Raw genomic sequence first — 27,712 nt, 5'->3', positions numbered from 1 at the left:
TCACATGTACATTTGAAAATAATTTTCCCAATGTATATACAACCTTATAACTTTAACATATTTTTCATATATTCAGTACGGTAACAAATTCCAGATCGTTAAAGAACCGAATAAGACCTTTATCAAAAAAGTATCTCAATGGGTCAATGACAATTTGGAAATCTTGTGGAAAAGTGGAAAAGAAAAATTAATTATCTTAAGGAAAGACCAAGAGTCAAAAGACAATAGATCTGATTTGAGAAACTACAGGAAATGTTTCAAAATCTACAAATATTCACATTTGGGTATTGTTTTATTTTTTTAAACATGATAAAGAATTATCATGTACAAAGTAACTTCAACCTTTATATAAAGATAAAAATTAATAAAAATAAGTATATGTCTCTTATGTTACTTCAATCATTTTATTTCAATACATGCCATCACCAGAAAAGAATAAGTTTCATTTTATGCTTCATCCAAAAAATGGATAAAATGGTTTCAGGGAAGACGCCTGTAAACACAATGATCACCAACACCCTTGGTAACGAATCAACAAACTGCCTTATGTTTTTCTCCAACTCACAACAAACTAAATTCAGACTTCCTTCAAACATCTAGTTCCAACAGTAATTTACCAGAAGTGCATTTGTAACTAGTATTGGCCTTTTTATTTTATGTGTATTCTAGATCAGGTTATAATTCTTAAAAACTTCTAAATAAAACAATGCACCCACATAAGGGAAACATGAATAGATATTATTAGATTTAAAATATCAGCTTGGTAAAATACACATCCAAATGCTTTCGAACTACAATAAATATCACAAAATCATGCAAAAAATGTGTTATTAAGGATGGCTGATTTTACATATTGCACTCCTCAAATAACTTTACAGCAAATTTAATTCAATTTGGAGGATTCTGCCCCAAAATATGGAATTATATTTAAGATACAGGCATATAGCTCAGTGTTTCTTAAATATTAAATTCTATCAAAATCCTTAAACCAAAGTACTGATCCCATTAAGTATTTCCCAGCTTCAAAAGTAAGAATTCCTGTAACTATACTTGGCTCTAATAATTTATATTTAGTAGAAATAAGGATATATAAAAAAGAAGCAGGGAGAAGGAAATAGATCAAGTGACAAGGTTAAGCAGCATGTATGTCCAGGGAATATGATTGTAAAATGATCACACAAAAGACCTTTAAAACGGAGATGAAACTCTCCTATAAATGTTAAAGTATTTATGAAAAGGAATTATATAGGAATCAAAATAATGTAGTTAAACCTCAAAATGTTTATACCTAATAACTGCAAGCCTAGCTACTTATCTACTTATAGGAGCCTTTATTTTTTTTCTTTTACCTGCTGCTGCTGGAGCTCCTCTTCCATCAGCTATTGCTTTGGAAGAAGGATTTGGAAGCATCTGTGTATCCTCTTTTTCTGCCCTGGGACATTCATTACGGTAAGAGGAATCTGAGGCTACCGGTGCTGTAACTTCTGAACCACGACTTAAGTCAAGAGGGAGACAGGGTCCCAGCTTCTCAAGTGGCAAATGTGCAACATCAGGCACTACACAAAATAAAGAGTGTAATGTAATATTAACACAGATAAAATGGCTCAGTTACTATCACTGTGAATTAAAGTGTTACATAATTTAAACAGTGCCTGGCACAAAGAAGGCACTCAATAAATATTTGTAGAATAAGTGAAGTGCTTATAACTCCAGAAGATATAAGAGCAGAAATATCTTAATATTTTAATAATCTTTATCTCTTAGTTTTTTCTTTATCTTCTTTTATGTTTGGTTCTATAGGAAATCAATATACATTACCCTCTGGTACTGAAGATTCTTGCTGATTTTGAGAACTGATGGAGAATACTTTCCCATCAGTGGCTGGAGAGGGAGAAGAAACCTTTTCTACAGAATCATCAGGCATGGGTAAGGTGGCTAAACGCTGAGATCTTCTTCTCCGCTCACTATGCTTGAAAGGTCTAGGGGGATTCACAGGCTGTGGAGGACCTAGAAAAAGATCTTCAATGTTCACGAAGCAGATACATACCAGGAGCATCTTACAATATTTAAGGAGATAAATGGGAAAAAATGATTTATATTCTTCCCTCTGATGTTGTTATAAGATATCCACAAGGAATGGCATGTTCCAAAGGTAATCAAAGGCAAAAATTGTGCCCTCATTCAAAATGAGTCAATCAAAAATTGTAAAATCTACACTCTACTAGAACTAAAAGAAAATAAAATGGAACATTAATTTCAAGTAGCTCCCCCAAGTGACAGACTACAGTTAATTTCTCTAATTGCAGATCGTTGTGTAAATTGCCATTTTTCCTTCGGGAAAATAGTCTCTTTACAGCAAAAGATAAGGAAAAATATATATATATGTATTCCTTTTGCTACATTGCAAATCTAGAAACTCTAAGGGAAAAAAAGGCAGGGACAAAGATGATACAACATTATAGAGTTAGTGATTTACTTTACACTAATGTAAATAATTTTATCCCATCATCATCCCCCCCAAATGGAGTTTTATAAACATGTCTGGGCCTGATTCATTAAAAAAAAAAAATGAACAAAAACAACTTTGTATACTTATTGTGAGCAAATAATGAGGATATTTAAGATTATGACATTGTGTACTTGTGTTTTTTAACAACTTGGTAAGTAATTTAGGCATCTTCTAGCAATATAATATAAATATTTGGAAATGTCTCTCACACTTTTAGATATCTTCTTTCTACATGGCATACAAACACATTTGACTAGAATAGGCAAGATTATATATGCCAATATATTCATGTTAATTTAGAAAGAGGAAATAAGAACAGTCTAAAGACATTGATGTTTGGGTATTTAAGAGTAATTTTACAATCAAAACGAAAAAGACATGCTGATAACTTAAAAATATGAAAGAATAAAATTTAATTGCTATAATATTGTGGTTATAATACCAAGATATAATTTCCAAAATAAAATGTTTATTAATGTCATATGACATTCCAGTGACTACTACTGACACTATTTCATGATAAATGCCATAATGAAATGAAGCTTATTAGGAAAACAATTGAATTATGTTCCCATTCTTTCCACCTATTAAAAAGAAAAAGCAAAACCTGATCAAAATGAAAAAATGATTCAGTAGAAAATATGGCAACTGAAGGAAAATAGGTTAATAAGTTTGATAAAAGTCTTCTGAATGCCAACATCTTTGATTATTCTGGAAGACACAATATGGAATAAGGAAACATGTCATATTCACTCAACTGATCATGTATTTCATTTTTTGCATAAAGAGCAAAAAAAACCATCATTTACCAACTGACTTTTCAAATAACTGTTATTCATGTCTCCAACTTAGGATACTAAACTAATATGAGAAACTCAGGGTCAACACAAATCTTGTATTATTTATATATACAGATATATAGGGAGATAGATAGATATACCCATGTGAAAGGTGTTTTCGAAAAAGACTGCGTTAACTCTTGAAAAATTAGAAGTACTGAAACAGTAAAATCTTTAAAAATACAATCATGGGGGCATTTTTTTTTCATTAAAAAGATTAAACTGAAGTCTAGACTATAAATATTATAATAAGAATGAATAAAATGTATTGCAGAGGAAAGTTATAGACAAGTGGGGACAAAAAATCTACAGGAATAGTCTTAAGTAAAAATAGCTATCCTGGGTCTTTTTATAACTTTTTTTTTTTGTAATGAATCAGGCCTCTCAGTATGCTTGGATTATGAGTTGAGGAGAGTCAAACTACAGTGGAATCTGTGTTATTAAATGGAAAGGATTCTCAACCAGCAGTAGTCTCTAAGCAATAAATCAGTAAGAAATGTCTATGGTTTTTGCCCCTGAAATAGTTTCAAGCCTTCCCTATCATATCCACTTGAGTTTTTAAAAAGCAACTTCATAAAAATACAATATAACTACAATCAAACTGTTTTTAATGTATCTTATAGGATAAATAACTATTTTTTAAAAATCTGTGCTCACTAGTTTTATTTATCACTGAAGAAGAAAGCTGAGATACAAGCGTCAAATCCTCGACTTGTATTAATTCTGGGGAAAGTGGTGATTTAGGGGGTTTTATACACCCAGAAGAATCTCCAGATTCATGTTTGCATTTCTTGCTGCGAGCCTTCCCTGAAGACAAAGTTGAGGATAACAGTGCAGGTTTCTGAGTGTTGGCAGAACTGCTAATGTCAGCTTCATTTTTTTTCTGACTTTGAGGTTTAGGTGAAATCGCCTGAATAAATAATAAAAAATTGATATTTTTATTTTGGCTTCTTCATTTTTGTTCTTGTATTCTATTTTGACTGTTAAGCAACTTTAGTATCCAGAAACATTGTTAAGCAACATATAACATTTCTATTACAAATGAAAAACCAAAAAGAACCCCACAAATTATTAACTAAAAGTTGAATAGGCTGTCTTTAAAGGGATGCTGTCAACTTTCAGTCTAAATTCATTTTTTAAAATATATTATTCATAATATTTTCGGAACATAAAATGTTATCTTACTGGACAAATATTTTCAGTATTAAATAGAAATATACCCCTTTAGGAACCATAATTGCCAATGACAATAATTCGAAAAATAAACAGCATTTTCATGTTTTAAAGGATTAGAGGAATACATTTAAGCTTTTGATTTTAGATGTTTTCTTATAAAATCTTTTCTTTTAAGTTGAATGTAAAGGTCTAAGTAGACAGATTCCCTTTAAAGAAAGATCTGAACAGGAAAAACAATGACCAAATTAACAAAACATTATCTTTAACTCATTTTAGTGCTGAAAGCTAGAGTTTCATAAGCACAATGCATCATGAAATCAGAGCCACCAGCAATATAGAGTTAAAAGACTAAAAAACAATACAAAACAAGCAACAACAACAAAAAAAAAACCAAAGAGATAAAGTGTAAGTTAAAAACATTGGATTTAAAAACAAAATACGTCGCATTCTTAGATGAGAGTTTTTACCTTCTTCCTGCCAACTGATACTTTTAAAAAAAAATTAGAACTTTGTCAGTTCTTTCATAAAAGATCATTTTTATTCATTTGGCTGTAAAATTTCCTACATATGTTAAAATATGTGTGAATGTGTCCATTTTTCAAAACAAGAGAAAATAACTACATTGGATGAATTTGCAATCTATGGTTCTGCAATACTTCTATCTCTTTCTGATATACTTATCTGAGAGCAAAATATATAATATGCATTTTTTGAAAATCTATTCTACCATAGGCCTTTATAAAGAATCAGACTGCTAGCACTATAAACAACATGCTTGTCCCCAAGAAATCTTTTTACTTCCATATCTTGTGGAGAATAACTATCAGGTCTGCTGTCTGCAGTTCTCTGGAATATGAACGATCATTTTCTGGGGACTAAATAAATAAATAATTCTGTTCCCACTGAGATACAAGTCAAATTTTGCTGGGGAAGAAAAGTGCATATTTGGTATTAAGTAGGGCACCTTCAATGCTCTATAGACAGCATGTTGGACATACCACATAAAAGGCCTGGTGTCAAGTGTCCCATTCATTCAGTTGTCATCATTTCTATTATTGAATTTACTCATTATAAATGTGTATAAGTGCAGATTAATTATTTGAAAAGGTACTTCATAAATGGATAGTATTCCTAACCTTATTATAAAAGGTGTTGCCAGAAAAGTAATTAGAGCCATTACTTGTAAATAAACAATTTTATTGTTCATCTTCACATATGTGAAAGACATCACTACAGCATCCATTACTCTCAAGTTACAAAGTTATAAAACAAGATTTTAAAACTTAATATCTTGATAAGGTGCTTAACTTCTAAACAAGGAAAAATTAACATTGTTTTTAAAACTTACTGAGTTATTATGCATCTAATGCAAGTTTTATCCAAAAGTAAATATAACATGACATATCCCTAATACAATTAAATAATCTATAATTAATAAGCTGAGAATTGGGGTTCAAGACCACAGTTTGAATTTTTAAAAAATATAAATAAGTCCATTAGCACAGTAAGTTTTGACTACAGGCCTGTTATCAATCTATGTCATGAGTGACATTACTTTAACTCATTAGGAAACAGAGGTTAGTAACAATCAATACCTCTCCTTTAGGTCTATTGCTGATACCAATTGAGATGTAATTAAGAGCTTTATAACTCGGCTTTTTAACTATGAAGCGAGGCTAACACATAGGATAAAAATAAGTGTTTGTTCACAAAACATTTTCACATTGAAATCAACCTGAATGACAAGTAGAAAATGAGGGAATGGCATGGTGTTCCTGAAAATCTAAAATAATTTACAAGGTTTTCATTAATGATTGTTGGTCTCTTTGTTACAAAACTGGCAAGGACTCTCAAAAGTTTTTAATTATGAAAATAGAAACAGCCGAGTTACACAATTTTCCTTTCTTTTTTAAATTCAATTTCAAAACGTGGTTTTCTGTACTTCTCTCTAAGACGGGTACTGCCCTCTACACTAACTTCCACATTTAATAAGTACTTTTCACAATCACATTCACCTCAGCAGGATTGTGCATAATCAAAGATTGACATTGTAATGAATTTTCCAGAAACATTTTATTACCCAAGTCCCTGATTTATCGCATTCTGAGAATACCATAAACAGTGGTGAAAATACAAAATATTGTTATATCTGGGACGTTGAATATAGTAATACACAGTAAAAAAAGTTATTTAAAATTTGGTTGATATATTGACAATAACGGCAAAGACTTAACCGTTGGATGATCACAGAAAATCAGAAGGTATGATTCAATGACATATTAATCAATTTAAAAGACCCATTGATTTAATACAACATTAATGGAGGCACCAAAACAACGCATTGTTATCAAATCAGGCCTAAAATAACCCTGAAAAACTCAATACAATATCAATTAAATTTGGAATAGTTTTTAAAACGCATCTAGAGGAGAGCAAAAGATACTCAAAGTCTTCTTTATTAGGCTACTAATAAAGAAAAGTAATACAAAAAGGATATATTAAAACTACATTAAGGCTCAGATTTTAAAACAGGAGAACCAAGGAAATCCAGTTATGGCTATTACTGCGTTCTTATAGTCTTACAGTGCCTAAGAAGTTAAGCCCTTAGAGAATGTAAAAGCATGCACAGTTCATTATGTACAAGTATTGTGGGAATCTGAAGGTAGCCAAGGCAAAATCTAGCAACTGCAACCTTCACTTTTAAATTCCTCTATTAGGTGGTTTAAAGACAGACCCTTAATAGTTTTTTAAACTCTCTTTTTTTGTAGTTATTAAAATATACATCCTAGCAAAAATGTATGGCTCATTGATCAATTCATAAAACACATAGTCAGTCTAACAACACCAATTGTTACAATATAAAAGAAACTTCTTACAAAAGAAGCTTTATTCGATGTCAAAAAACCCTGTTTTAACTCACAAATGGAAAGTATTTGTGTAAGGGTCTTTTTGTAAGCTAGTTAAAGGTGATCCAGCTGGAAGCTTATACCCTGGGATGCCTGTCTCCAGGCCTTCAAATTTTGGAGACAAAGGCTTTAATGCCAGTCTATGAAATCAAACACTAATGAAGTCTGTAGTTATCTGTATACCTTGGAGAAGGCAGAGTTAAAAATATATCATCAATTAATTAGCTTCCTATTCCCATATCTGATCAAAAGGGGAATTTCAATTACGTAGATACTAGAGCTCCGTGATCATTCCAGTGGGAACCTTGAAAAAAATCAAATGCTACCATTTCATACCTGCTCCAGCATTGGAGCTGTTTCATTGTAGTCTTCCTTTTTTTCAGCACCATCAACCCCAACAGCTTTGGATGCCAACAAACCTTGAGAAAAATTGTACAGAAATTGCTTATTAGAAAAAATACTGATTTACACCCTAATTAACTTTGCAAAAATCTTAGCAGTTGAAATTTCCTATACTTTTTAATACGTAGGAAGTAATCTCAAATGTTTTCTTTTCAAAAATACAAATATGCTTAATAATAAGCCAAGGGACTGAATCAGAACTTGAGAGTTGCTTATACAGTTGTGTGTCTGTTGTTTAATATTACTCAATTAAATCACTGAAAACACACACTTGCACACACACATTTATTCTGTAAAAAGTTAAAATTCTGTCTTAATGTCTACATTAAGGTTGCTCAGGTTGCTAATACTTATAATACAGGTTTTGTCTATACAGCTATAAAAACAGAATAAGACAGAAGAAATCCTTCCAAACATCCAGAACATAAAAAAAGATTTTCTGTTGTTTTAGTAACTAAAAAAGCTACCAATTCTTAAGTTCATTTAGATCCTTTTAATCTAAGCTTTATGTGTGTCCAGTTGTACCTTACCTTCTTATAAGAGTTTAAACACAGATGGATCCATTTTATGTTAAGAGAAAAAGTGTGGGTCTTTCCTAGAACATCTGAACTTAATATTATAGTTCATTTTGTCATTTTGTCTATAAATGACAAAAATTTTTAGAAGTTCCAGTTTTCTTCTATGTATGTCACTAATTCTCAAATTTAAAAGACAGAATAGGCCAGGCGCAGTGGCTCACCCCTGTAATCCCAGCACTTTGGGAGGCCGAGGCGGGCAGATCACTTGAGGTCAGGAGTTCAAGACCAGTCTGGCCAACATGGTGAAACCCCATCTCTACTAAAAATACAAAAATTAGCTGGCGTGGTGGCAGGCACCTATAATCCAAGCTACTCGGGAGGCTGAGGCAGGAGAATCACTTAGACCCAGGAGGCAGAAGTTGCAATGAGCCGAGATCCTGCCACTGCACTCCACCCTAGGTGGCAGAGCAAGACTCCGCCACAAAAAAAAAAAAAGACAGTATTTTATTGTAATATATAACTGTATTATTAATTTGAATCCCAAGACATTAAAACTCTGCTTTAATAAAATATAGGCATTTACTTGGTTAAAATTCTTTGCTAAGCCTGTCAGGTAACCTTCGATGAAGTCTAGTTTATAAGCCTTGTTTAAGGCCACCCTGCTCATAAAAGGCCACCAAAATTCATTTCTGTGTCATTTCAAGGTTGTCAGGTACCTTCAGTGAACCCCAGTTTATAAGCCTAGAACAAGTATTTGTTTTTGTTTATGGCCACCCTGCTCATAAAAGGTCACCAAAAATCATTTTTGTGTTATTTCAAAGTTGGCCACACAAAAACTTTGCTCCAAAGGAAGCATGTTTAACAACTGACAACTTAATAGTAAACTGACTACAGCAATTATACTACATACATTACAGAAGCTGTCCACAACATATTTAACAGGAGAAAAATGGTGCCCCCTCAAAGGCAGTATGATGTAAAGGTATCCATGGGCAACATGTCTTGACTTTATCAGACAGCTACCCTAAAGAAGTTAAGTGATCTAGGTAGGAATTCACATATTAAAATTATATTCTTGGGCCCAGCACAGTGGCTCATGCCTGTAATCCCAGCACTTTGGGAGGCTGAGATGGGAGAATCACCTGAGGTCAGGAGTTCGAGACCAGCCTGGCCAACACGGTGAAACACCATCTCTACTAAAAATACAAAAATTAGCTGGGTGTGGACGTACACACCTGTAATCCCAGTTACTTGGGAGGCTGAGGCACGAGAATCGCTTGAACCTGGGAGGCAAAGGTTGCAGTGAGCCGAGATGGCACCGCTGCACTCCATCCTGGGGAACAGAGTGAGATTCCATCTCTAAATAAATAACTAAATAGATAAATAAATTAAAAAAATTATCTTCTTAAAGTAGTACTCAAACAAATTCTAAATTAAGCAAAAGGTACCTAGTACTCAGAATGTACTTTAAAATAAAAAAGGCCGAGTGTAAGACAATGATTTTGATACATTTATGATTAGTATTAAAACTGGTATTTAAGGTTAGGCACGGTGGCTCATGCTTGTAACACTTTGGGAGGCCGAGCTGGGTGAGTTGCTTGAGCCCAGGAGTTTGAGACCAGCTTGGGCAATATAGCAAGACCCCATCTCTATATTAAAAAATAAGTAAAAAACAACAACAAAACCCTGGTGTTTGTCCCAGTTTGAGATTTAAAAAAAAAAAAAAAAGCAAAAACCAAAAAACTAAATAGTTTGTTACAGTCTCATACCACATCAACTGTATATAAACAATTTTACAAAAACAGCTTCAATCCTAATTATATTCTGAACATATTTTTACATTACTGAAAAAGATACAGTACTGAATATTTAACATTTAAAGCTACATTCATTAGGTTTTTATTCTCCAGCTAACATTCTTAAGGCCCAATGAACTATTGAAATAAAAATAATTAGAAAATCAAGTTCTTCTTTTGCAGGAAACTGAGTAGAGTTATATTTCTAAGGACTATTCAAACAGGACAAATCTTGCTATTCAATATATTATATAATTATATCTTTTACTTTGTTTCCTTTCACACAGGTGGTAGAAATACTTTTTAATACTCAATAGATGAAATAGATCACAAACTAAAAAGCTGAAAATAAGGTACCACAAGTAGTAAAAGAAACAAAATAATTCACCCATAACATATGGATTTACATTAGGATATTACAGACCCAGTTTATTAAAATCCCTTTCCATTAATGGTTTGAGAAGGAAAAATAAAGCATTGCAATGTGTTCATAAAAAGTAATGAGACTTAAGAAAAACTACTTAAAATTAGATTTTAAAATGCATACTTGGTTATCTAGAGAATTTAAAAGCCCAAATATGATTAATAAAGTTTTTTCATGCTTTACATTCACATCAACTTACAAAAGTTATTAAATATAAACAATAAAATGGAACAAATAACAAAATAGGTACTTGAAGAAATAACTCTGACTACTTCTGCCTTAAGAGGCAGTCCAAAATCTGTTATCTTGACCTGCTAATATTCCAGGAAAAAATGCACTATCCATAGAAAATGAGAAGAATTAACTGAAAGGAAATTATAAGCAAGTACCTATTAATTACCTATGTATTACTAACAGGCCCTCTTCTAGAAGAATACCCCTATGGGATAAAATTGCCCAATAAGAATGCATTACACTGCTTCAAGAAATTATTTAAACTTAGGTAAAAGAAGAATATCAAATAGTCATCAGTTCCACCCACCAATAAAGTTACAACCTTCCAGTATTCTATATTAGCTATAAAATACACAGCTGGTCTCTTCCTGCCAATACGAATAAGTAGAACAGAGCCCAGAGCTCCCTGGAATGGGAAAGGGGAACAAAGAAAGAGCAAAGTGGTTACATTCTTGGTCTACTTTTCATCCAGGTATTCCAAAACACAATCTTCTTGCTGGGACTAAGAATCAAATATTCTTGATATTATTATCAATAACATACTACTGGTCAATTCAAATTTCAGGATTTTTTAAACTTTTTAAATTCCTTAAGTTACAGAAACACACCTAAGCTAACTGAAATTCCAGGAACTCTTAGAGCCTATTAGAAACAGATCATGCACCAACTGCTGATGTTTTTTTCCTTTATTCCCTTGACATTCTGTAGTTTAAAGTCTAATCAAATTCAATTTGTTTGTGACTTTGTTCCAAAAGTATGGACTACTAGTTTTCTAAGTAAAATTGTTTATTTCAAATCAGTATGCATAAGCCATATAATAATAGCTATCAATAAGGTACATGACATAATGAAAAATACGAACTGGGAAATTGTGTGTGTATATATATATTGCACAGTATATGCAATATGCATATGTGTACATATATGATATATGTATATGTGTATACATAGAAATATATATGTATATCTGTATGTATATGTGTGTATATATGTCTATACATATACGTATTCCATATACTGTGCAACTATATTGTCAATGTCTACCTATTTGGAACCTCTGAAAAACGCCATCCTTTTAACATTCTCTATACAGAAATCGGGTTTAAAATCATCACATGGTGTGTATGTGGCAAAGTGAATAGAAAGAATGATAAATATATGAATTAAAGTTATCCAATAGCTGGTCCACGTATTTAAGTTAGAACTCTTTAAAAAAATAATAAAATAGAGTGGAGAGAAATACATCAGAGCAGGCTGCCATGATCCCAGCCCCAATCCTCTCAGTAGTAAAAGGACAAAAAGACACATACAGATGAGCTTGATGAATTTAAAATATACCATAATGCCATAACAAAATTACTATTTTATATTAGTTCTCATTTATCTGTATAAACTATAAATGAAATCTACTGTAAAAAGGCAAGCCTGAATTTCAACTGTTGAAGACAATCTTACAATATCTACTGTCTTTTTGCATGACATAGTTGCAACATGAAATCAGAAATAGATGTAGAAAAATGAACTATTAAAAAGATTATCACACACTTAAATTTTCTAAGTAAATAAAAAGATCATAATGGTTTCACATTCATAAAATCTTATGCTCTGCTGCTGCTGTCAAACTGTAACTTATTCATTTGAGACTCCCAAGGGAAAGTGAAGAGAAAATCCCACCGTGGAAGGGAAGGGTGTTTAAGCAACCAGTATTACAAACTTGAGGCACATGGTAAAATGGTACTTTTTTTCCCCACTACTGTCTTTTCAAGGCCATAGAGAAATAATGCATCATTGTGGGCTCAGCAGAGTTTTTGTGTTGTAGTTTTTTGTTTTTTTTACTTCTTTAAACGTTGAGCTTGAATATCCCAGTAAGGCATATGTAAGAGTATATTGATTGAAACTATTAAAGCAGGTTATCCAAATTGAAGGAAAAAAAGCATGATGCTGGAAAGCTGGCAGTTGTATCATGTCAGTGTCATCTCCGTCTTCTTTGATCTCGACTCCTCCAATAGTGTTGTTTCAATCTTTGTATCACAGGAGTTAGAAATACTATTCCACTTCTGCCCAGCACATAGCACTGGGTTCCATATTTTAAGGCAAAACTGAAGTCTCATGCCATAAGAACAAACACTTAGAGAACATTTGGCTTTCTCCAAGGTTAATAGTTTACAAGGAAAAGGTGTAACAGGTTAATTGATTTAAAATATTTCCTCTCCTGGGGCCAAGTATATCCTTTATCAGAGACAGGCATGAAAATAATATATACAAATGGAAAGAGACTGAATATTCTCACCTGCTAAAACCAATTATAATCACTTAGATGAACAATATAAATGAAATGGTGGTTCTAAACAATCCTCAGCTCCAGAGTCACCTTTCAGTTAGCTTCCTCTCTTCAGAAAATGGTCAAAATGTTTAGTTTACATGTATTCCTAAATCTGACCATGAAATCAAGCTTCTTCAAGTTGAAGCCAACAAACAAAGGTTTTTACAGCTTTATTAGGCCAAAGGCACTAAAAAAAGATTCTGTCCTTTTAATAAGAACATATGACTAAATCATGAAAGTATTTAAACTCCCCTTTCAACATATACTCAGAAAAGGTAAATATGTTCACAATTTCTTTTGAAGACTAGAATCACTAGGCTGAATAGACTGTGGAAATGGCAGGATGTAGTATGACTGGCCCCAATTCTAATCCTTCAATCCCCTCTTCCATGAACACGAACCAGGCTAGAATTTTCAGTGTTTTCTAACAGCCTAACACTGCTATTTCCTAAACTAAACTATAAGAAATCATATGGAAATAAATAAGCCCAGATTCTTGTGACCAACCTGAAGAGTAAAAATTAAAAAACAAAAAAAACTTATAGAAATACTTTCACATCAGAAATTCAGAAATTAACAGATTCAGGAAGTAAATGTAAGTCAGACAGTCATCTTTCCAATATATATGGCACCATCCTTAAGTAAGACTGGTCAAGTAGAAGAATGTATAAAAAAATTTAAAATCTGAGAAACTGTGTCACCGTAAGTTGACAAAATAATTCTTCTAGAAACTACTACTACCACAAATGTAATTTAAAAATCACTGAGCTTTGTAGCATTTGTCCTTATCAACCCTCACAACATCCCTGTGAGGTAGGTAGAAGATATGTGGTATTTTTCACATTTTACAACAGAAAAAGCTGACGGTGTTGAAAGACATTGACCTTGAAGAACCACAAAGTAATTGTCTTTGTTATTAACAGGTCCATGACACTAAATCAAAACCATTTTACTTCATTAAAAATAAATTACTCTAAAATTAAACCTTCCATTTCCCCCCCTCAAAAAAAAAATCATTGTAGTTTACCAGTAATCTTGTTAAGTCGAGCTCTCTTTGCCTGAAACGAGTTGCCTTGATTATTTTTCCTCTTGTTTGATAATGTGCTCTCTGGCTGTGGAAAGACCATCTTTGGAACGTTCTCTACATGAAGTCCTACTTTCAACAGAACACATATATGAGAGTTTATCTAGAATCCAAATTAAAACACATGATTTTTTAACAGCAAAATAGTAAAAATGCTTTGCACATTAGTTTTTTTAATCTACTACTTGATACAGACCTTTGAAAAACACAAATCCCTCCAGACTAATATATTAGAAATAAAAGACTACTAAAGCAGTTATTCTTAAAGAAAAGCAGGAAGAAAATAACTTACTGCTTTTTCCATATTATATATTGAAGCATACACAGAAGCATTTAAAAGGTTGAAGAAAAAACACAAAACAAAAGAAAAAATCTCAAACAAAAACCTGCTATCAAGAAGTTATAAATCAAAATCTCAACCTATTTCTATTCAAGAATACTGAGGGCATCCAATATCAAGTAACCCACACTAGACTATTAAGTTTCAGGTCTAACTGTAAGATGCTAAAAAAGTTAGCCATCATATTATGCTAGGGTCAAAAGCCTACAAATTTAATTATACATTCAAAATCAAAGGAAGCCAAGGGATTTGACTTTACTACATGAGTTTACCAGTGTCATAAGGAATTAACGTAAGAATGTATTTTGTACCAAATGTTTCACTAGATGTAGGCAGATCTTCCTTCTTCTCTACGTCTGGTGTGGCTATACAAGTTGAAGTTTCCTCCTTCTTTGAAGGTACTTTAAACCACTTTCTCTCATCTTTATCCTTATCTTTATTGCTGTTAGCGCTGGTTCGAGGTTTACTCCCTGTTTTGTTCTTGGCTGCAGCTGCAGCAGCTGCTTTGACTAAAGCTATCCAATCCTCCAAAGGAAAAACACAAAACATGTGAAGTATTAAAAATTAATTAAAATGTAATTACACTAATAAAAATATGTGTCACATTTTCAAAGCTACTTTCACAGGTAACTACATAAACATAAATATAGAGATAACAATATTTACATGATAGCTGAACATGGTAGGTTATCAAATTTAATAATCAAATGAGTTAGATTGCATAACCTCTCATAAAATAGGAAGCATATTCAATAACAGGTATTCCATGGATATATTTTCACAGGAATAAAATCTAAAATAGCAGAGGAAACCTATGGCAGATATGGAATACTACATGACATTCTACCTTAGTATTTTAGGGCTCAAATGTTGCATTCCATCTCTTTCTCATAATACAAAGGACTATAAAAGAAGGGAAAAATGCTATCTTGCAATTCTACAAAGATTAAAAATAGTGTATTCCCACCTACCAAATTGCTATTCCTTATTAGGACAAATGTACCATTCAAATTATAGTCAATCTCATAGAAATCAAGAAAGGTATGATTTTTATTATTTTCTAAAGCTACTGAAGTTCAGATAGCAATTTATCACAACAGCTTAATAATACTGATGAAGAAGAAAAGAGCTCCATTGACCAAGGTAAAGCATTAACTGTCAAAACTCCACATTAACTCCCTATACAACATCCTAGGTCTCTGTTTGGTACCATTCTTCTGAGGTACAAATATTTATTTTTCCTGTGTTAATTTAGTTTGTTGCTAAATACATTTTACTATTGTATTTTTAACTAAAAATGCTTATTATAAAAAAAGGTGTAAGGAAGTATAAAGTGTTCCTAACATTTTAATTTTCACAATAAAAATGTTTTTAAAACAAATATAAATATCTCTACAAAGTGAATCTGCTGAGACCACTAAGCTCTGTCAAATAGACTACCAGTTCAGATTTACTCAAAATACTTTAAATCCCTAGTCCAAGCAACTAAAAATTTCACAACATCAAATGAATTTAATTCACGGTTTACATTAACAAATATAAGCAAAATACGTTAATAAAATTAAGCAATGAACAATGTAGATTAACACTGCCTTAAAAATATATGGTGAAAACAATAAGCCATTAAAAAGAAAAATCTGTATTTCTAACTCTTTCTCTCATAATTGCAACTAACTGAAAACATCATGTGATTGCACTTAACACATTCAATCAACAATTTTCTATTGAATACCCTGTCCTATATGCCAGGTACTAGGCTAAGCATTCAAGCGACCGCAACTGATAAAAGACTGGTCCCGTCCATAAGGAATTCACAGGTAAATACAATTAGCTATAAGCTGCGACAGGAGATGTACTGGAGAAATAAACAAAATACTATAGAACAGAAAAGAAAAGATTGATTTTGACTGAAGAGAAAGACTAATGCAAAGCTTCAGGGAAAATGATAGATGAGCTGAACCCTAAACATAAGCAGGAATTTGCTAGGGAAAGGGGTAGTGGAAAAAGAGAAAAGGCTACTCCAAGCAAAAGGAAAAACATTAAACAAAGGCCAGGAGTAAAAGTGTACAGAAAAGTGAAAGAGCGATGAAAGGTTCAAGGAGCAGTATGGGCAGCTAAAAGCAGTATGGCTAAGTTGAGCTTTCAGACTAACATTTAAGCAGTAAGAAAAGAAAGCACCATCAATGAAAAAAAAAAAAAGGATTGAGAGAGAACAATCAACAAAGTGGGAAGAGAAACAAGAGTAAGTACAATCAGACAACCAAAAGGAAAGTGTTATATGCCACAGAGATCATACATTTGCAGACCTATTAAGAGTAGAGCATTTAATCCTGGGTTCCACATTGCGGGGAAAATTTTAAGTTGTCAGAGTTGCTAGAAAATGTCAGAAGTAATTTCCATCCCAAGTTGTTTTCTACCTCCAATAAAGAAAAAAACTAAAAAGAGAATCATACTGCACCTTTTAAATTTAAATATGTTTTTAAAATGCTTTTCAATCATATGACTTGCATGGGAATCACTGTAGCTCTGTGATTAAAGAATTCTCCCACTGTTTTGCTCTTTTATTTTTATGTTGAGTTCTATTTTGTGTTTGCTTTTACGTTTATTTATACAAATTTATGGGATACATGTGAAATTTTGTTACATGTATATAATTAGTAGTGATCAATTCAGTGTATTTAGGGTGTCCATCACTCAAATATAACACATTTTTAATAACTATAGTCACTCTACTCTGCTATCAAACACTGAATTTATTCCTTCTATAGAAAAGCTTCATTGTTAAAAATAACTGAAGTGTGATCTTTCCATGAACTATAACTAATAATGATGTTTTCGAGCTCTTTGTAGATAACATAATAGAATATTGCATTAAAAAGGGCACTGTGTTTGAAATCAGAAACTTTGGGTTAAAGGAATCACTTCGCACAGAATGAGTAAAATTTTAAGTCACTGGATTCTCTAAGTTCTGAATTCTTCAAATGTGAAACAGAAATATTAGCCATACCTATGTCAAAGGATCTACTATGAGAATCCAACGAAACAAGGCACACAAAAAATGTTTTGTAAATATTAATAGCAAAGGACCTATAAGCCAACCATTAACACTAGTGAGTCACAACGTATATTTTGTATCAGCACGCCCTCAGGAAGAAGAAATGAGAGAAAAGGCAAGTACTTCTGTTACAAGCTTCCAAATTAAAAATATAATGGCTCAATCTCTCACCCTGTAATTACTACTGCTCTTATTAGGGTAGAAAACCAGAAGGAACAAGGAGGTATCTCATAAAATGAAGGAATCAATCCCCCTCCTATAATATATGTCAGTTTCATAGCTATTTATGTATCAACACTACCATTCCACACAAAATTATGTGGAAGAAGAAAAAACTGTAGGTAGGGAGAAAAAGAGGGGATCTTATTTTGGGCTGATAACATGTCTACCATTACCTTCTTTCCCAGTGAGAAAAATGTCTACAAATACAGTGTTAGAAGGACTACAGCTCACATTGCACCCACTGTAATATTAAAAGCTCTTTAAGGTGCTCAAGCTAAACTCTTAATGCAAGCAGAAGTTTATCCAGTATTAACCAACGGGTTCAAAGTCAAAAACAACAGAATTAAGACTTATTTAGGCTTAAGAATATTAATTACTTCGGAGGTTTGCATATACAAAAGTGTTACTAATGTCACATTTTAGACAGGTTCAGGAAGAGCATTTCCACAGTGCATTAATTTGTTGCACTACTCTTTGCTAGCTTAATTTAAAAATTATCTTTCTAAACAAATTCTCAAAGTACTCAAAATTTAGAAGATATTATACAAGATAGGCCCCCCTTAGCTTTGCCCAAATAACAACTGATTTGGCATATTTCTTTGATGAAGGCAAGTCAAAAGCTTGTTGGGAAAAAGCAACTCATAAAATGAGAGTCATTTATAAAACACAATTCTACAAATATTGTTAACGTTGCTGTGATTAAGAATTATAAAGAAAAAAATGAAAAATTAAAAGAAATATACTACTACCCAAATATTATTTCAGTTGTTTTATATCTTGGCACTGATCTTAATGTTATAATGCATCATAGTGTGACTAAAGAATCACTACTTATTAAAAACAAACATCCATAACATCCAATAAATTTAATTTTTACAAGCTGTAATTTTACCACAAACCAAATTGGCTCAGTGTCCCACTTTGAAAAAACAAAGTTTTAAGGCAATAATATAATGTCAATTCATGAACATCTGATCAACCAGAATAACAAAATAATTGTTTTAAAGCAAAAAAAAAAAAAAAAATTGAGACTTTTGCTTAAGCAGGTATATACAATGTTCCCAACCTTTTAATCAATCTATGTAGTAACCAAGAAATCACACCACTGAATGCTTAAAAGAACACTTTATTTATACATACATGTGGGAAGACACAAAGCCACTTCCTGATCAAAAGCATTTTCATTTTAAATTGCATTTACATATTAATTAGAAGAAATCTGCTTGCTAATCATTTCATAACTAAATTTTTGAAAACCAGGCAATTTAAAACAATCACACTTATTTCTTCATGAATAATTTTTTTAATGTGGTAGATATACATTTCTAGAGCACTAAATGTTTACACTTGACTGAAGCTGACCAGGTAATTTCAATACATTTCAGAATGACAGTTTTCACCGCATGGTATGGAACAAATACGTAGCATATTTCCATATTAGACATTTTTACACACTACTTTCAATTTCTTAAAATTAATTGTAGGTCCAGGTGCTGAAAATCCCAAATAACAGCAGAATAGAAAAGAAAATATTTTAAATTTCTAATGGCACCTTTCTTTCCAGTATTTCAGAAAACATAGCCAACAAATGGAATTGTGGTTTTTACCTCCACCCAAGATTCTCCTTCCAATGCTTACCATCCATTCTTGCTTTGAGCAGTGACAAAGCATACAATACACTGCTTCCATCACATGACTCAGAGAGCCCTATCTGAAACAGCCTACAGAGTGTCAGGTAAGCGCCTTTTAAAGGAAGATGAATGACTATGATTTGTAGAAGGAAAGAAGAAGATAAGAACTCAATGTAAATTTTTATATTAAAAATTTTTAACTTTCTAAATGACATTATATACCAGGAAAAACAAAACAAAATTTTTAAAAAAAAGGCTCTTACCTCACTTCCCATAGACTGGTTACACGATCCAGCTGGGTCGATAGGACAACACCAGCTTAGTGGATGCTGGGATTTCACCTGGAACAGAAACTAGTGACCTATAACTTTAGCAGGTCTAAACCAAAGAAGCAAAAATCAAATGTATAATTTATTTTACAGTCTAAGCTTCCTTTTCTTGCTGCTATTTGGGGCTATCAGCACATAACCCTACAATTAGTTCATTTTTAAAAAATATACATATAAATATATTTTGATCAGTCACCGTTCAAGAAGATAACCCTTTGGGTAGCTAGGAATACTGAACACTCTTACCTGCCCCTTAGCATCCTCGGGCATGGCTTTAATGTGCATTCTTTTTAAACAACGAATTACTCCATCATAAAACTGAACTGTAAATGTTCCTGAAACAGGAGCAAGTCAGAATCATTAGAAAATATAATTCAAGTTTACAGCAACACTTGAAATCTAACAAGTAGTGACTTGTATAGATAAATGCTTTAGGAATGCAAAAACTACAAATGCTCCTGTTAAGGACTCCATCAAGTTTACTTTCTCCCTCCCTCTAAAAACAACTCTGAACTCCTGTTTCCCCTAACAAGTACACAAATTAAGTCTTGATAAGTTAGTTCCATGTAATTCTGATTTTTACTAAGAAATTTTATAATTTATTTTGCAGTAATTTAAATGTTTAGACTCAACATAGCTGACAAAAGTAAAATCATTACTTACAAAAATATATAATATTTCCATAGGCATTACCATTTGCTTTTGAATGTTTCTTTCAAAAGAAGTAATACAGAGAAGGAGCTGATATGCAAAAAAGATCATTTGCCCTGGAAAGGATTATTCCTTGGGCAATAACAACAAACTGGAAAATAAGAATTGTAGTTCCAGACTTTAAAGGTAGAAAATATTTTACAAATCATCTAGATAAAAGTCTTCATAAGTAGCTCAGAACACTGAATTCTAGAGGAAGGCTAAATGCTACACCCAATGGCATTCACCTAAGTGGCAGGCAACACAGCCGTAATTAATACTTCCAATCTCATCTGGTCATCCATGTCTTTCCCACAAACTCATCCTACTTGAAGGACTCAAGATTTTGTTTGTCTATTATGAAGCATATTCACTTTTTGTTACAGACCCCATGCTTTCAAGTCAATATAAGCCAGTACTATTAGAAGATATATAAATTATGTATAATGCCTACTTAAGGAAATTCAAATGTTTTCCTGTCATTTCCTAGAAAAATGTTCTTCCACCATTTCCCCAATGAAGGCAGAGTCCCACTCTAAGTAAACAGATACTTGGTCTTTATAAAAGAATTATAAACAAGAAATGTGACAATCATTACTAATGTCCTTGGGGTTGGCACCAAAGCCGATAATATATATGTGCAAAGATTTTTTTTTTTGGGTACTCTGAATAACACCATTTGATTTTATTTCTTTCTATAATTAGCCTAACGTTGAATTTCACAGATATAAAGATCTAAATTCAAGTTATGCAAACAACTGATCAGGCGAATAGCAAGGATGTAAAGACAATGGAAAAATTTTGAGAATGCCAAACTCTGTGTACACCTGGCACTTCCATCTTTCCTGCAACTTTCTGTCTTCCTTCTTCAATACAGCATTCCAGAAAAACTCAGCTTGCACACCAGGCCGTCTGGGCATTAATACCTCTCTGCCTTTGCTCATGCTATTTCCTCTGTTGTGATGCCTTTCTCCTTTCCCTGTGTCTATCTAAACCCCAGTCCACTCTTCAAGGACCATTCCCAAGATGAAAACTTCCCCAATGACTCCAGTACACACTGACTGGCCCCTTTTCTTTGCTTCTATATGCTGTATTACAAATGCCTAAATGTTCACAATTGTTCATTTTGTTTTGCTCTTACACTGAACGGATGGCTTCTTTTGCCCTTCTGATTTTTGTCAAGGTGGGGAGCGGGCAGGCCTATCCACCACTTGGGGCATACAGAAATCACAAAATTAATACCTTTCAGAAAACAAATAGTATCTGCCAATATTTCACTATGTGTTCACTGAAACTACTCTGGAAATGCCAGGGATCACAATCAGTATCAACACTCTTCCACTAAGGTAAGCTGAATTTTCTGTATTAAATGCCTGTAGATGAAAGGGATAGAATAAAGAATGAGGGTGGTTTTGTTCTGAGTGTGTGCGCTATGTGTGTACCTGCATCTGCACACACACAGGGAACTTTAAGCATGTAACGAAGGCCCCAAAGCTCTTAAAAGAAACTGTTATGAATTAATGTAGAGGGCAATGACTGTTTAATTTCACTTTGTTTTGGGTACATCTTATTACCCAACAGAAGAGATTTTACTTCTTCCTTTACTTCCACAAATTGTTACTGACTGTCTACTATGTGCTAGGCTCTGGACTAGACACTCGGAAGCCAATGTGAATAAGACTTGGGAATGTAAGCTCCATAACACAGCTCCACAGAAGTGTAAGTGTACAGGGAAATACAGGGCCCACTAGAAAAGAAGAAACAGCCTGCACACCTAACAACTGAGATGTCTCTCAACTCTTTCTGTAGGGGTAACCAGTGGTAAGAAAACCATAGCCATATTCATGATTTCAATTCATTAAGACAATACATTGGATTAAGGTCTTTATAAAGTTATATCATGATTTCTAGCTAGACTACTATGATTTATTTTTTCACACCTAAAATTCCTTAATATATCTCTGTTTTCCTCTTCTATCTTCTCTTACCTCCTATTTTCTCTCAAGTTTGTTGTTAGATTAAATCCTCAGCCTAAAAACTCTTCCATGGCTCCCATCACCTCCATATAAAATTCTAATTCTTTAGCAAGATTACATGACACTTCATATACCAATCTTTGCCTTTCTCTCCAACCTGTACTCTAGCTATTCTATCACCTATAAACGAATCTTTCATTCTAAGCAACCTGCAGTTCCTTAAAATGACATGGCATGCCTCTCCCACTTGTTATTTTCCACATATTTCTTCTACCAGAAAAGCACTTTGATCACTACTTTAGCTAACTTAGTTGTCTTTCAAGACTCAGTTTAAAGGAAATGTCCCCTTACTTAGATTAAATGCCCTTCTTGCCAAGAAGCTGTCACTCAATGTTTGTTTCTTTAGTAATAACAATGAATACAGAAATCCCCCTTATCCGCGATTTCGCTTTCCACAGTTGCAGTCAACCGCGGTCTGAAAAGGAGTGAGTACAGCACAATAAGATATTTTGCAAGAGAGAGACAAGAGAGATTGAGAGAGAGAGGAAGGAAGAGAGAGACCACATTCATATAACTTTTATTACAATATACTGTTTGATTATTCTATTTTATTATTGTTAACTTCTTACTGTGCCTAATTTATAAATTAAACTTTATCATTCATATACATGTACAGTATAGGAAAAAACATAGTATATATAGGGTTCAGTAGTTTCCAAAGTTTCAAATACCCACTGGGGGTCTTGGAATGTATCCCCCGTGGATAAGGAAGGACTACCGTAAGTGGTCAAGTTTAAGAAATAACTTTAGTAGAAAATTAATGTATTACTCAATTTAAAAAACACGTGCAAGTATTCCAAAACTTTTTTAAATGAGAAATTTGAATAAAATATTCAGGTATGTTTTCAACAATAATTTAATTATTAATTCTCACAACTTTCCAAATTAATGAGCATATGAATTCTGTTTTAAATTAATGATCTGTCCAATAGATTTCCCAGTCTTATGCAACACTAACATGCCTAATTTCTGTGTTACTTTCAACATTTTTGATTACTTAAGCAACTTTGGCTCAGTATCTAATATTCTAACACATGTCCACAAAAAGATACTAGAAAATTAACTCAATTATCTGTAGAAATTAATGACAGGACAGCAGGGAGAGACACAATAAGGGAAATCCTCGAACTGGTAAAAATTCCATACTCTTTCCTCAGAAAATATCCTATGTATTTCACTTGTGAATTGAACTGATTTGAATTCCCCTAAATCTTTAACCTTTCCTCACACTCTTGGGTAGATGTTCATAAATATAAGTTAGCCACAAACTAGAAACAGAGAAGTAGAAATAAAATGTATATGATATAAGCCTGTGAATTGAAAGTTGAAAAATTTTAACCAACTATTTTTGTCTACTAATTTAAACACTACTTAGGTAGCAAACCATATAGCATTTTATTCTCGATAACACATAACAAATCAAATGCTCCCGAAAAAGAATACTTACAGAAAATATAAAAGTTATACGTAATGATTACATAACACACACTAATTAAAATTTAAAATACAGTGAAATTTTACTATTAATCTAATTTTAAGTCTCAGATCATTTCAAACACATACCTTCTTTGTTAATTGCTTCAATCTTGGCAGGGTAATAGCGACAGTCTGTCCAACGAGCCAGAACTTCTTCTCCAGCTTTAAAATCCTATTTTAAACAACTTTTAAGATCAATTCCATGTATATTAAATAAGCATTTCTTAACAAAAACAGGCTTTTGTATAATTTAACAGAATCCTTTTAAAATATGTCATTACATAGCTGGCAAAACTAGCAAACAGAAAAAACTTGCTACTTACAAAGAAATCTTCCTCATCTTTTAGCCCTTCTTTTCTTAGTGCTGGTCTCTCAAGGGGTCGCAATCTATTGCTATCCCAGTAAATCCACTCATCATAACGATGACTCCAGCGCTCAAAATGGACCAACATCTTGCCCTCCTCATAGTCAATTTTTTCAATTCGTGATGGATACCTCAAAAATCAAAATGCTTCATATAAAGAGAAAATCCTTATATTTGTTTATACAAAGCATTATACATAGATTTAGCTGAATGTTGCTTACCATTAAAACCATGAAGAAAACAATAAATACGTCCATATTTTAAAACTAACCAAAAAACTCTGCTTTATTGTCTTTATAAATGATCGTCCTCAAGATCTGAATAAACTCCTTGATACACTCCCAGTAGAAATATAAATGACTGCACTGTTTTGTGAAGTAATGTGGTAACATACATCAAGAACCTTAAACATATTCCTACTTTCTGACCCAACAATTCCAATTCTGGAATTATATACAGAAAACATTATTTATAATAACAAATAAAGTGGAAACCATCTAAATATATGGTTGGAAAAACTGAAGACTGTCTACAGCTACACAAACAATGATATATCCACTGAATGAAATATTATGTAGTCACTGAATGTGGTGTTTACAAAGAATTTACAATGTGGGGAAAATGTAAAAAACAAGAACTCTATTTAGCATAAATATAAATATGTAAATTTTGTCTAGCAAAAAATACATCAGCATGTACACTGTCTTTATATGGCATAAGCTCACTTTAATTCTTATTTTTCTGTATTTATCAATATTTTATAAAGAGCAACAATGATGGTAAGGCTCAGTAAAACCTTAAATTTAAAAATACAAAATATTTCATTGTTCTGTCTTCACATGTGGTAATTCTGTAATTCCAAAATAGGAATTAGTTAACTTAAAATCTTTTACAAGGAAAGTTGCTTCGTCATTCTTAATGTACTGTATTAAAATGTTAACAGATGACTCAATTTTTTTTAAAGTATGATTAAATAACATTCAGAACTCAATAGCAGCACACAGTGGATGATTCAGCCATATAGTTTATCCCATATTCTTCCTAGCTTTTGCTAAATTCAGAATCTTTGTTTTCCCCGTGAAAAACTAGCTTTAAATATAAAGTACAATGGACTTTATATAACTTTGAAATGTAGGAACTGATTACTACCTACTTTATAGCTCAATCTTGCTATTCAGAGTTTTTCAGATATTTCAAGGATCATTCTCCGGTAGAGCTTCTTCGATCTTTTGACATTCAACCCCACTTTGATCTAATGATATTGAGCTCTTGGATTTTCCTCAAATATATGTTGCTCTGTGTCAAGCATTCATGCTATTCTCCATTCTATTCTTTCCGTCCGAGCCCTAAACCACCCTTCCCTTCCTTTGTATACAAATCACTGCAGACTTGGTTAAACACAGAACTGCTTGTGTGAAGACTTCCCTAACTCCCCGGCTCCTGCTGCTCTGACAGCACTCATCTCATTAAAGCTGTACATCATCTCTGCACAGGTTCTCACTCAAACTGGGTGCTGAAGAACATTTATATCTCTTGGAACACTGATATGTGTGGCACTAAAAAAAAAAAAAAAAAAGAAAAAAGGGGTCTTCTCAAATAAGCTAGGGAATTATTGGATTAAAAAAAGTTAGGCTGCATTCTTTATTGAAAGACTTCTTGGTGCAGTCAACGAGACGGAGATAAAGCATTCAGTGTTACTAGAGTCAAGAAAACATGTAACCCCTTTTATCACGAAAATGTATTAACATTTCTTGAGATAGCAAATAGCTAAGGAAGATGAGGTTAGAAATGCTACTCTGGCCTGTGAACTTCTGGAGATAAATGAGTCATGTTTACTTTTGTAGTCCCCAGGACCTAGCACCATGACAGGACACAAAACTGCTACTCAGGGAATGTTTGCAGGCGTAAGCAGCAGCTTTAAAGAAAGGCGGGAATGTCTGCAGGCGTAAGAAGCCGCTTTAAAGAAAGGCAATTTGCTCATTTCTTCAGAACTAAGAAGGCAGTTGACCCAATTATAGCCTTGTTAGATCTTAGTCTTTTGGGGGGAGTAAGTATAGGTGAGGGAAGACCTGTGTTAAAGGCATAAAAACAAGAAAACTTAGGAGATTAACATACTTCCTGAGGTGGACATGCCTGCCCTACCCACTTAGAATCAATCCTGTAATACTTGTCTTTTGCAGTGTTGCTCTGGTTTTGTTTTTGTTGCCCTGGTTTTTAAAACATAAAAATTGTCAATAGTATTAAGAAAAACCTAGAACAAGGTTGTTCCTTATTTTTCAACATTCGCTAGCCACTGAAGTACTATAAAAAGATATTCTATCAATTGTAAAAATTGGTAAGTTTCCCTCAAAACATAAAGCCTCTAATTTCATGTGCTTAATTTGTCCTATCATTTACATTTTGAATAAAAAAATAAGGAGTTTATTCTTTAGGTTCCCTCATATTCTAAATCTATACAACTCTATATATTTGAAACATTTCTCAAAGTGAGAATAGTCCACAGTAACAGAGTTAAACACATCTTTATTTTCACAACATGACTTAATTCAGTAAAGAATCAGTATCTAAGTGAGTTCAAATAATTTAAATCTGGATTGCATTTTAAAGCGACTTACGGTTTTTCTAAAATATTTTAAATTATTCTGGCTGAGATGCCTGACGCATCAACCAAAATGAAAATTATGTTTTGGGGATCCTCTTTAGGGTAAGTCATAGCATGCTGTACTCTCTACATAAATATCTAGAAATTGGTATGTACAGTTGGGATGAAGGCCAAGAATTAAGTAACACAGATACCCAAGATTCTTCTCTATTTTAATTTTTATCATGTTCACTAATCAAATTTTGAATCTTAAAGGTGTTAAAAATATTACCATTATCAAAAATGTCCAAATTTCTGTTCATTCATTAAACATTTATTTGAACATCCAAGAAGACTAAGGCACTTGCTAGGCACTATTGGTACATAAAAAGGAAACGAAACAACTCGGCCAGCCACGGTGGCTCATGCCTGTAATCCCAGCACTTTGGGAGGCCGAGGTGGGTGGATCACCTGAGGTCGGGAGTTTGAGACCAGCATGACCAACATGGAGAAACCCGGTCTCTAGTAAAATAACAAAATTTGCCGGCCATGGTGGCACATGCCTGTAATCCCGGCTACTCGGGAGGCTGAGGCAGGAGAATCGCTTGAACCCGGGAGGCAGAGGTTGCAGTGAGCCGAGATCGCACCATTGCACTGGGCAACAATAGTGAAACTCCGTATTAAAAAAAAAAAAAAAAAAAAAAAGGAAATAACTCCTATCACTGATGGGCTTAGCTTAGGGTCAGATTAGGAGAAAGAGAGAAGAATCAGAATATT

At 33.0% G+C, this 27,712-nt stretch overlaps 1 protein-coding gene across 31 annotated transcripts in view; it reads right to left on the bottom strand.

The window, feature by feature from the left end:
• Positions 1-27,712, bottom strand: part of PHF20L1 (PHD finger protein 20 like 1) — a 73,420-nt gene that overhangs the window by 29,913 nt on the left and 15,795 nt on the right. For 6 of the 31 annotated variants that reach the window (NR_156424.2, NM_001438312.1, XM_047421823.1 and 3 more), the window contains exons 3-11: positions 24,314-24,485; positions 24,078-24,162; positions 20,035-20,123; positions 14,863-15,076; positions 14,155-14,283; positions 7,767-7,849; positions 4,006-4,258; positions 1,819-2,007; positions 1,350-1,556 (exon numbers count right to left, since the gene is read on the bottom strand). Coding sequence is in view for 30 of the 31 variants with exons in the window: in NM_001438312.1 (NP_001425241.1) it covers positions 1,350-1,556; positions 1,819-2,007; positions 4,006-4,258; positions 7,767-7,849; positions 14,155-14,283; positions 14,863-15,076; positions 20,035-20,123; positions 24,078-24,162; positions 24,314-24,485 (1,421 nt within the window). In the remaining variant the exon portion in view is untranslated. Of the gene's footprint in view, positions 1-1,349; positions 1,557-1,818; positions 2,008-4,005; positions 4,259-5,704; positions 7,850-11,111; positions 14,131-14,154; positions 14,284-14,862; positions 15,077-19,722; positions 19,813-20,034; positions 20,124-24,077; positions 24,163-24,313; positions 24,486-27,712 lie in introns of those variants that run through there. The other 25 variants (XM_011517081.1, NM_001277196.2, NM_001438313.1 and 22 more) reach the window with 7 other exon arrangements.

This window comes from Homo sapiens, chromosome 8, assembly GCF_000001405.40.
Source record: "Homo sapiens chromosome 8, GRCh38.p14 Primary Assembly".
Lineage (NCBI taxonomy): Eukaryota > Metazoa > Chordata > Mammalia > Primates > Hominidae > Homo > Homo sapiens.
The sequence above is the reverse complement of the archived record's forward strand: the minus strand, read 5'-3'. Positions and strand labels throughout refer to the sequence as shown.